This window comes from Homo sapiens, chromosome 8 (genome assembly GCF_000001405.40).
Source record: "Homo sapiens chromosome 8, GRCh38.p14 Primary Assembly".
NCBI lineage: Eukaryota > Metazoa > Chordata > Mammalia > Primates > Hominidae > Homo > Homo sapiens.
The window spans coordinates 130,726,925-130,739,092 of record NC_000008.11 but is presented as its reverse complement, the minus strand read 5'-3'; the positions used below and the strand labels follow the sequence as shown (position 1 = coordinate 130,739,092).

The 12,168-nt window shown below is 39.3% G+C and overlaps 1 annotated feature.

The window, feature by feature from the left end:
* Nucleotides 10,682–11,881: an enhancer, noted in NCBI's record as "CDK7 strongly-dependent group 2 enhancer chr8:131739458-131740657 (GRCh37/hg19 assembly coordinates)". NCBI's record gives its function as "activates an origin of replication core promoter dependent on BRD2, BRD4, P300/CBP, MED14 and CDK7 cofactors, with strong dependence on CDK7, by STARR-seq in HCT116 cells {active_cell/tissue: HCT116}" and the evidence as "EXISTENCE:reporter gene assay evidence [ECO:0000049][PMID:35650434]".

Here is a 12,168-nt window from a genome sequence, read left to right as displayed (position 1 = left end):
CAATATACGTCTTTGCAGCCGGGCGCAGTCGTTCATGCTATAACCCTAGCACTTTGGGAGGCCGAGACAGGTGGATTGCTTGAGGCCAGGAGTTCAAAAACAGCCTGTGTAACATGGTGAAACCCCATCTCTACTAAAAATACAAAAAAAAAAAAATTTTTGGAGGCTGAGGTTGCAGTGAGCAGAGATCCTGCTGCTGCACTCCAGCCTGGGCAACAAGAGCAAAACGCGGTCTCAAAAAAAAAAAAAAAAAAAAATCTTTGCTTTTCTCCACAGCCTTGCCAGCAAATGTTATTTTTTGACTTTTTAACAATCGCCATTCTAACTGATGTGAGATTTATCTCATTGTGGTTTTGATTTGCTTTTCTGTGATGATTAATGATGCTGAGCATTTTTTCATATCTGTGTTGGCTGCCAGGAAGTCTTTTTTTTAGAAGTGTCTGTTCATGTCCTTTACTCATTTTAAAATTGGATTATTTGTTTTTTGCTTGTTGATTTGTTAAGTTCCATATAGATTCTGGATATTAGACCTTAGTCAGGTGCATAGGTTCCAAATATTTTCTCCCATTCTATAAGCTGTCTGTTTACTCTGTTGGTAACTTCTTTTGCTGCACAAAAGCTTTTTCATTTAATTAGGTCTCACTTGTCAATTTTTTCTTTTGTTGCAATTGCTTTTGGGAACTTAGCCATAAATTCTTTGCCAAAGTTAATGTTGAGAAGGGTATTTCCTAGGTTTCCTTCAGAATTTTTATAGTTTGAGATCTCACATTTAAATTATTAATTTTTTTTTTTTTTTTTTTTGAGACATGGTCTCACTCTGTCACACAGGCTGGAGTGCGGTGGCGTGATCTTAGTTCATTGCAATCTTCGCCTCCCAGGCTCAGCGATCCTCACACCTCAGCCCCCCACGTAGCTGGGACTATAGGCATGTACCACCATGCCCAGCTGAATTATTAATTGACCTTGAGTTAATTTTTATGATTGAGAGACAGGAGTCTAGTTTTGTTCTTATGCATATGGATAGCCAATTATCCCAACACTATTTATTGAATAGGGAGTCCTTTCTCCATTGCTTATTTTTGTCAACTTTGTTGAAGATCAGATGGTTGTAGGTATGTGGCTTTATTTCTGGGCTGTCTATTCTGTTCTGTTGATCTATGTGTCTGTTTTTGTACCAGTACTGTGCTGTTTTGGTTAATCTAGCCTTATAGTATATTTGGAAGTCAGGTAATGTGATGCCTCTGGCTTTGTCCTTTTAGCTTAGGATTGCTTTGGCTATTTAGACTCCTTTTTGGTTCCATATGAATTTTACAATCATTTTTTTCTAATTCTGTGAAAAATTATGTTGGTGTTTTGATAGAGATAGCATTGAATCTGTGAATTGTTTTGGGCAGTATGGCCATTTTGATGACATTGATTTGTCCAATCCAAGAGTAAGGAATATTTTTCCATTTATTTGTGTCACCTCTGAATTCTCTCAGCCATTTTTGCAGTTCTCCTTGCAGAGATCTTTCACCTCCTTGGGTAGAATTATTTAGGTATTTCAGTTTTTGTTGCTGTTATAAATGGAATTATGTTCTTGATTTGGCTCTCAGCTAGAATGTTATTGGTGTATAGAAATATTACTGATTTTTGCCCATTGATTTCGTATCCTGAAACTTTACTGAAGTTATTTATCAGTGCCAGGAGCCTTTTGACAGAGTCTTTAGGTATTCTAGGTCTAAAATTATAACACCAGAGAAGACAGTTTGACTTTTTTCCCCCCTATTTGGATGCCTTTTATTTCTTTCTCTTGCCTGATTGCTCTGGCTAGGATTTCCAGTGCTATATTGAATAGCAGTGGTGAGAGTGGACATCCTTGTCTTGTTCCAGTTCTCAAGGGAAATTGTTCCAGCTTCTGCCCATTTAGTATGATGTTGGCTGTGGGTTTGTCATAGATGGCTTTTATTATTTTGAGGTAAGGTCCTTTGATGTCTAGTCTCTTGAGGGATTTTATCGTGAAGAGATGCTGGATTTTATCAAAGGCTTTATCTGCATCTATTGAGATGATCATATGGTTTTCTGTTTTTATTCTGTTTATATGGTGAATCACATTTATTGACTTGTGTATGCTGAATCAACCTTGCATCCCAGGAGTAAAGCCTACTTGGTCATTGTGAATTAATTTTTTGGCGCGTTGCTATAGTCAGTTTGCTAGTATTTTGTTGAGGGTTTTTGTGTCTATGTTCATCAGGGATATTGGCATGTAGTTTTCTTTTTTCATTGTGTTTCTGCCAGATTATGGTGTCAGGATGATGCTTGTTTTGTAGAATGAGTTAGGGAGAAATCCCTCCTCATAGTTTTTTGGGATAATTTCAGTAGGATTGGTATCAGGTCTTCTTTGTATATCTCATGGAATGGTTGTGAATCCATTCGGTCCAGGGCCGGGTTTGGTTGGTAGAGTTTCATTACTAATTCAATTTCAGAACTTGTTATTGGTCTGTTCATGTTTTCACTTTCTTCCTGGTTCAATCTTAGGAGGTTGTGTGTTTCCAGGAATTTATCCATTTCCTCTAGATTTTCTACTTCGTGTGCATAGAGGTTTTCATAATAGTCTGGGGATCTTCTGTATTTCTATGGAATCAGTTGTAAAGTCATCTTTTTCATTTCTGATTGTGCTCTTCTGTTTTGTTTTTTTGTTTCTTTACCTATCCCTAGCGGTCTATCAGTCTTGTTTATTCTTTCAAAAAAAACTTGGTTTTATTGCTCTTTCGTTGAGGCTTTTGGATCTCAATTTCATTACTTTCTCTTTTGATTTTAGTTATTCCTTTTCTTCTGCTAGCTTTGGGGTCAGGCTGTTCTTTTTTTCTAGTTCCTCTAGGAACCATGTTAGATTATTAATTTAAGATGTTTCTAACTTCTTGATGAAGATATTTAGTGCTATAAATTTTCTCTTAACACTGCTTTAGCTGCATTCCAAAATGTTTGGTAAGTTATGTCTCCATTTGCATTAATTTCAAAGAATTTGTTGATTTCTGTTTTAATTTTTTCACTCATGAGTTATTCAGAAGAAGGTTGTTAAAATTTCTATGTTTTTGTGTAGTTTTGAGAGACCTCCTTGCTATTGACTTCTATTTTTATTGCACTATGATTGAAAGTGCTCTTGGTATCATTTTTATTTTTTTGAATTCATTAAAACTTGCTTTTGGCTGAGCACATGGTCAATCTTAGAATATCTTCCATGTGTGCATGAGAAGAATGTATAGTTCATGATTGTTGGGTAGAGTATTCTGTGGATACCTATTAGGTCCAATTGGTCAAGTGTTATGTATAAGTCCAGAATTTCTTTGTTAATTTTCTTCCTCAATCATCTGTCTAATGTTGTCAGTTAGGTGTTGACATCCCCCAGTATTATTGTGTGGCTGTCTAAGTCTTTTCATAGGTCTAGAAGTACTTGTTTTATGGATGCAGGTGCACCAATGTTGGGTGTATATATACTTAAGATAGTTAAGTCTTCTTATTGAATTGAACCCTTTATCACTATGTAGTGCCCTTCTTTGTCCTTCTTGATTGTTATTGGTTTAAAGCCTGTTTTATCTGGTATTAGAATAGCCATCTCTGTTCTTTTTTTGTTTTGCATTTGCATGGTAGATCTTTCTCTATCCCTTTATTTTGAGCCTGTGGATGTCATTACATGTGAGACATATCTCTTGAAGATAGTAGACTATTAGGTCTTGTATTTTTATCCAGCTTGCCACTCTATGCCTTTTAAGTGGGGTGTTCAGACCATTTATATTCAGGGTTAATATTGGTATGTGAGATTTTGATCCTGTCATCATGTTGTTAGCTGTTTGTTTTGTAGACTTGAATAATTGCTTTATATTGTCTGTGGGCTATGTGCTTGGGTGTGTTTTTGTGGTAGCAAGTTTCAATCTTTTGTTTCCATGTTCAGCACTTCTTTAAGTATATCTTATAAGGCTGGTCTGGTGGTAACAAATTCCCCTAGTTCTTGTCTGAGAAGGATTGTATTTCTCTTTTGCTTATGAAGCTTAGTTTGGCATGATATGGTATTCTTGGTTTTAGTTTCTTTTCTACTAAAAATAGGCCTCCAATATCTTCTGTCTTGTAAGGTTTCTCTTGAAAGGTCTTCTGCTAGCCTGATGGGGTTTTCTTCGTAAGTGACCTGACTTTTCTCTCTAGCTGCCTTCAGGCAGTGGTCTACATGTTCAGAGAAACTTCTCTAGTATTGAACTATAGAAATGATCCCTGGATGTGTAGTGTTTCATGGGTACTTCTTATAGATATCAGGGTTAATCCCTCCATCCTTTGTTCTAGCAACCCTTTGTTCAGACATCTATTTCAGCATTCATCCTCTAGTATCCATTTCTCTTTCTTTTCAGTTAGATTGTCAACTCTTCTAGAACAAGGATTATATTTATTTAATGGTTGCACATTGTCCAGCATATAAAGAGGAATCAAGTTTTCTAAGTGGATAAATAAATGAACAAATAAATAATCCATACAACTATGTTGTTCATATATGCTTGAAATAGATAATATCTCTATTATGCGTGTCAGCCAGTGAGTGATATGACTCAACACTTTTAGATTCCTCTAGTTTTATGTCTAGGAAATTGGAGCAGTTCTATAACATAAAAGCCTTTTTTTCTGAAGCCTAATCATCACCTACCTATGTTTAAACTACTTTAAAATAAATACTTTTCCGTTTCTTTTTTCTTTATTTATTTTTTCAACAAATATCAATTGAGAGAACCAGGCCACGTTCTATTATTCCCCATTTTACAGATGAGGAAATCAAAGAACAGCGTGGTTATGTAACAGCTTGCCCCAAGATTGAGTACACAGCTAGTAACTAACAGTACTGGGATTTTACAGTACTGGGATTTGAACTAGGATTTGGCTCTAGAGTCTCTGTTGCTAGGCAATAACAAGACAAACAGGATTTCTTCTAAGTTGGACCTTATAGTCTAGTGGGATAGAGAGGTATTATATCTTTTAATGAATAAAACAAGTATCTATTGAGATCATTGATAATTATTTAGTAGAAAAACTACTGGTAAGTGATATTTAAAGTAATAAGAGGTTCTACTTTTAAAACAGTGATCAAGGAAAATCTCTTTAGAGAAAGGATTTACACTGAGACATAAAGGACAGGGAGCTAGTTATGAGATGGAACATTGCAGATGCAGGAATAAGATTATCTTGTTGCAGGAGCTAAAAAGACACCATGGTGCCTGGAGCTTGGTAAACAAAGAAGAGACAAGCAAATGATAATACATTTAAAGATACAGGTATAAGCAGACAATGCCGTGAAGTCTTAAGCAATGAATGTGATTTTACCCACTGTAACGGGAACTTGCTTTTGCTGAGGTAAGCGATGACATGTGATTTTAAGAGAATCACTCTGGCTCCACAATCCATGTGGAGAATGGATTGAAGAGGAGGGAAGTGAAAGCAGGAGACCAGTCAGAAGGTTACTGCAATTGTCCAGGTGAGAGTGAAAGTTATCCCTGGAACTTACACCCATTCATCTGATGCTGCCCTCTTTTCATATTAGAGTATGCCAAACACCTATAAATCAGGCAAGGACTCAGGTATTTTTTAATAGAAAGCTACCAGCACTCAAAAGAAAAGTCTCGTAACCTTTCTGACTTAGCTACTTTCTTTAACATCAAAACTTCTTGTTCTTTTTAATGCCTTGAATAGTGACTAATAAAATGAACAATTCCTCCACCCCAAAACACCCTAAATTAAGAACTTAACATTCCATTTATAGTGTCCTGTACCTGGAATAATTAACACCAGATGCAGAATAATGGCAGTGATTAGTAATTTTCCCCCATGAGAGCCATTTTTAGGAAGGATACAGATAGCAATTTACTCCACCACCTCCAATCCACCCCCTCCCAGCTGTTTCCTCAAGCTGGGTGCCCACTCACCTGACTGACAGCACTTCTCATGCGGATGGAGCATCTTGGTGAGGAAAGAGATTAAAACCAAAAACATCCAATATGTAGAATTGTAGTTAAACTAAGAATAGCAAGAATCACATAAGGGCTATCATTTGTTGAAAGTCAGGTACTATATTAAGAACTTAATACACTTTTCCAAAGAACTGACATGTCTCACCAATTTATAACCAATTTATTATCCAGGATCATACTGGAATCTTATCAGGTTCCCCCAGCTCAGCAAAATGCTATAAGCCACATATAGGAAAAACAGTATGCAAATGAATTGCTGTTTACAACAGTCTAGTCTTTAACCTATTCAAATAGGCTGTCGTCTTAACTAATCATACATTTTCCAACCCTGAGTTTGAATCTCTGGATTTTCTCCTCTACTTGTCCATCCCAACTTGCTATTTAAATGATTTTCTCAGCTCCCCATCAGCCTGCACTAATTTCCGGACTTTGATACACATCTATGCCCCGAAGACTAACCTCCTCATAAGTGCTTCTCATAAAGACTTTCATGCTAGTGTGGGTGTGTGAAACCTGCCTCTATGTTGCACTGTCCTTCCCAGATCGGTACCCAGGGTCTAGAGAAGACCACAGAGGCATGAAAATGCTTTCAGTAAATTAAAAACTTTAATTTCTGTTTTTAGAGATAGAGTCTTACTCTTTCACCCAGGCTGAAGTGCAGTGGCATGACCACTGCTTACTGCAGCCTCAACCTCCCCAGGCTCAGGTGATCCTCCCACCTCAGCCTCTCAAGGAACTTCGACTGCAGGGCATGCCATCACACCTGGCTGATTTTTGTATTTTTTGTAGAGATGGGGTTTCACCATGTTACCCAGACTCTTTTCCTACTCCTGCACTCAAGCAATCCACCCACCTCAGCCTCCCAAACTGTTGGTATTACAGGAGTGAGCCACCACGCCTGACCAATTTTAATTTAATAGCATTGAATAACCTTAATTCTTTCAATTATCTAACTTTCCTCTTGCTCCATGTTTCATTGTTTAAAGAAAACTTTAGACGAATTAAATTTGACAGGCCAGGCACAGTAGCTCACACTTGTAATCCCAGTGCTTTGGAAGGCCAAGGCTGGTGGATTGCTTGAAGCCAGGAGTTTGAGATTATAGTGGGTTATGATCATGCTGCTGCACTCCAGCCTGGGCAATAGAATGAGATCCTGTCTCACAAAAAAAAAAAAGAAAAGAAAAGAAAAGAAAAGAAAAGAAAAGAAAAGAAAAAAATTAACAAGTTTAATTGAACAAAGAAAGATTCAATAATTGGGCAGCCCTCAGAACCAGAAAAGGTTCAGAGAGCTCCATTCAGTAATGTGGCTGCATTTATGGACAGGAAATGTAAGTGAGGTACAGAAATAGCTGATTGGTTGCAGCTCAGCATTTGCCTTATTTGAACACAGTGGCTGCTTGTGATTGACTGAAGCATGGCTGTTGTGACTGGCTGAGACTCAGCTGATGTTACAAAAGTATACTCCTAAGTTAGGCTTTTAGTTTATGTACTAAGTTAGGCTTCAGTAGGGACTCAATGTACATGGGCATCCTTAGGCCAAATTTAGTTTAATTTAACAACTTGTACTTGGTCAGCCTCAACCTTGCACATGTGCATGAGTCATTGTTGTCAACTGCAAAAGTAGTTGCCACAATTCTTCACTACTCTCTGTATCTATGCACTTTTTAACGTCACTTTACAGCTCTCTTTCACCATGCATTTTATCTGAGCTGGCCTTGTAACTTGCTTAGGCCAACAACATTTAGTGAAAGCAGTGTGCTGCCAGTTCTAATTCTAGGCCCCAAGAGCCCTTGCACACCTTCACCCTCCCTCTTGGAAACCTGTGACTGCTCTGCAACCAAACCCAAGCTGGCCAGCTATAGAATGGAGACCACATGGAGAACAGAGGAGCCAACCCCCAGAAGGCGAGTTGCCTACTAACCTTAGCTAATTACAGACATGAGGAAGCCCTGCTGAAACTAGAACTATCAAACTGCAGCACAGACCCACAGGCAATAGTCATTTCTGGCTATTTTAAGTCACAACATTTGAGGGACTTTGTTATGCAGCAGCACATAACTGATACAGTCCAAACACCATTTGAGAAAATTGTTCAAGTCACCATTTTCATCTGCTTGGCCATCAAGCTCAGTTCTTACTGGTTCTGAACATGTCTATGGCTTCTACCTTGGTAGTGATTTAGCCCCTCTAAGATTAAAATAATCAAACTCTGGAGTTAACTACCCAATAGACTCTGTTTTGACATATAACGTACAAGTCATTCCTATTAAAAATTAAAATCAAAATCTCCTAATTATGGATCTCTGTGGCAGACACACACTAAGGTGACCCTCAACAAATCATGTCTTTCTATAATGCCCTTTCCTTGAGGAGAGGTGGAACCTGTGACTTGCTTCTGGCCAATAAAATACGGCAAAAGTGATGGAATAGTCACACCTGTGGCTATATTAGGTTATATAAGCCTTCATCTTAGCAGAGGCTCCCCTCTGGCCTTGAAGAAGTGGGCTTCCATGTTGGGGGAGGACCATGTGGCCAAAAACCCTAGTGGCTTCCAGGACCTGAAATTAGCTCCAGGCTGACAGCCAATCAAAGGCAGGGACCTCAGTCCTACAAACACAAGTAACTATATTCTGCCAACAGTTACATGACATTGTAAGAGAACCCCAAGCTCTAGAAAGGAATTCAGTCCAGCCGACATCTGAATGCAGCCTTGAGAGATTCTGACCAGAGGACCAGGCTAAACTATACCAGGACTCCCGATCCACAGAAACTGTGAGATAATAAATATGGGCTGTTTTAAGCCACTAAATGTGAGGTAATTTGTTGCACAGCAATAGAAAACTAATACAACCACTCTCTCATCACTATCCTAAATCCTTTCTCATCTTTTCAAAGTCAACGTCCTAGGAAAAGTCATGGATGCTTGGTTAACTCACATCCTCACCCATTCTTTGCTCCTCAACCCATCTCAATCTACCTTCTTTCCCCAACTTCCCATTGCTGTGGTTTGTGTCAAAGTACCTAATGACCTCCTCACTCAAAGGTTTTATTTTAATATCTTCACCTTACATCTTTATAAATATTTTCCACTCTTCTTGATCCTCTTTTCTACATTGCTTTAAGAACACAGCTTCTTCATGGTTGCCCTCTTCTTTCCTTCTTGGTTTCTCTTGCAGCCTTTTCCTCTTTGGTCTGCCTCTTATATGGTGGCGTTGCTCAGGGTTCTGCCTTTAACCCTCTATGCTTCTCATTTCCCTGGGTGATTTCACTAATAAGAAAGGTTTTGGAGATTCCAGCAGCTCCCAATTCTTTGTCTTCATCCCAGGCCTCTTTGCTCCCCAGACTTGAGGGCATTTCTACTGGACTGTCCCACAGATGTGTTAAATTCAACAGGACCAAACCTGAGTTCATGATCTCACGCTTACAAACTCCAAAACATGTTCCATTCCTGTGTCCCCTCATTAAATATTACCTCCATCCAATTGATATCCCGGGCCAATCAGTTATTTTAAGTTACCCTCCACCATTACCCTCCCCAGCTAGTTGCCCACGAAGCTGCATCCAGGGCTTCTACATCCCACACTAAAATCTATCCCTCTTCTTCATTCTCATTGCTATTGCTCAGGTTCAGACACTAGTTGTTTCTTGCCTGGATTATTAAAACACTTTCCGTTTGATGAACTCATGATTCTTTTCCCACCGTCCCACACATTTCTAACAAAAGTCTTCCTAAAATGAAAATCTGATTACGTTCATTACTTGTTTAAATTCCACTGAATGCCTGACTCCCAGTGGTGTCAAGGTAAAGTCCACATTTCATGTCATGGCCCACCAGGTTTCTAGCCTCCTTTTTCTGGCATCTTTTCTTTCTCTCCTCCACATGCACCCAACATCTCTCCCATACCATCATGCTCTGAAACATTCAATTGCTCCCCACTTCTCTACATACTACTTCCTTAAGACTCAGCTCGAACTTCATCTATTCCGGAAGCCTTCTTCTATCACCATCGCCACCTTCCTTGTCTTCTTCCCTGTTTCCAAGCTGAGTTAGGCACCTCCAAACCCCATGTGTTTTCCTGGTCCTTTGCAGGCATCGCACAGGGCTGTGAGCTTCCCCCACCACACTGTGCCCTCTTCAAATACCCAGACCAGCTGGTGTTTCAAGAACCCACTACAGTGACTAGCACAGAGTAAGCATCAATAAATGCAAAATTGGATGAATGAAAAATTATAAGTAGGAATGAATGAGTGAATAAATATATGAATGAATGAGAAATAGGTGGAGCAGCTTGGGGATGCTTTAACTGAGAAAAATATTCATAGAGAACAGGCATGCTGGCTCTAATTCTAATGGACAGCCACACAAAGGAAGGGTAGGAATTTCTCCGGGAACAGTCCCAGAATAGCGGTTGCCAGTGGTAAAAATTGTAGGGAAGTGAATTTTATTCTGGCCCAAGTTTGAACTCCCTCCTCAAACAAAATCAGCTTCCACCACAGTTCTCATTATGTCATTTAAAGATAACTCCACCCTTCCAGTGGCTTAAGTCAGAGATACTGAAGGTATCCCTGACCCTTCTCCTTCTCTCACACCCCACTTTCAATCACTCAGCAAATTGTGGTGGTGCCACCTTCCAAATACTAAATCAGAATTCTGCTTTTTTGCTATTTCCACTACTACCACTTTTGTCCAAGTCATATCATCTCTCACCTGGATTGTTGCAATAGCTTCCTGACTAATCACACTCCTCCCACTCTTACCTTCTGTATTATAATCTTTAAAGGGACCTAGAGGGATCCTGTGAAAAAGTAAATCAAATCATATCATGCCTCTGCCCAAAACCCTCCCATAGCTTTCCACTTCAATCAGAGTAAAAGTGATATACTTATGACAGCCTAAAGCTAGTACACAGCCTGCCCCACCTTACTCTGACTCATCTCTTCCTCATCCCCTTGTTCACTCTGCCCTAGCTACATCAGCTCTGCTATTTCTTGAACATAACAGGCTCAGGACCTTTGCATGGCCTGTGTCAGATTCATGGCTCATTTCTTTGCCCCCTTCAAATCTTTGCTAAAATACGATCTTCTCAAGGAGACCTACTCTGAAACCCCTTTTAATATTATACTCTCATTTTCCTTACATTGCATTTATCACACTCCAACATGTAATTCTTATGTACTTACTGTTTCTTACATGGTCCCTCTGCTAGAATATAAACCATAAGGGCATTAATTTTGTTCCTTTTTGCTCGTCAACTTATCTCTCGTGCTTAAAGCAATGCCTGGTGCAAAGAAGGGAAGCAATAAATGAGCAATCGAATGAGTCAGTGAATGAAACAACAAAATTTTAAAATCTTTTAAATCTTTAGCATCTAACAATAGAATGAGCTGCTTTTACAAGCAAGGAGCTCTTCATCACTGTAGGGATCCAAAGAGCTGGCAATTTCCCAGCCACCTTCCTTCTTGGAATGAAGGTCTGAACTGAGGGTACCTCATGTTCCTTCCACCCCTGGGATTCTAAGATTCTTGATTCCTGTCTTTCCTAGAAAGCACAGCTGCTGTGCTCTCAAGGCCAGCAAACAAAGGAGATCTCCCCCAGTCGATGTCTCCACTGGCCTTGGCTTTGGCACTGGGTCAGTTTCTGTTTCTGATGAGTCACTGTGGCTGGGAGAATGTGGAGCGAAGTGTCAAGGGCAAGCCTTCAGCAGAGTTTTTCAACGTGGTAGTTTTTAATCATGATCCATTTTCTACTTCCAACGTGCTACAAGTAAGTCCAAGCAGAGAAAAGAGAATCCTCTGGTGGTTTAATGGTTTGCTCAAAGTCCTAGAGCTAGCATCAAGGTAGAGAGTGAGCTTCCTGATGCTCAGCCCTGCAACACACTCATGGGACTTTTCAAATTATCCTCGGGCTTATTTCTGAAATTAGATTGTGAATGTTGGGAAGAGGCCCTGGAGAGGAAGCATTGGCTGCATTTCCATAGCCCTGCCCTTGGAGGGAGCACTCTACTTCCACCAGGTCTTTAGACACAGATCTCAAAAGCACAAATGCATTAATAATGTAATAGTAAATGGTAACTCTCTTAGTCCACTTGGGCTGCTATAACAAAATACCTAAACTAGATAATTTTTAAAAAACAGAAATGAACCTGAAATCATAAAATTTCTAGAAGATAACATTGGAAAAACT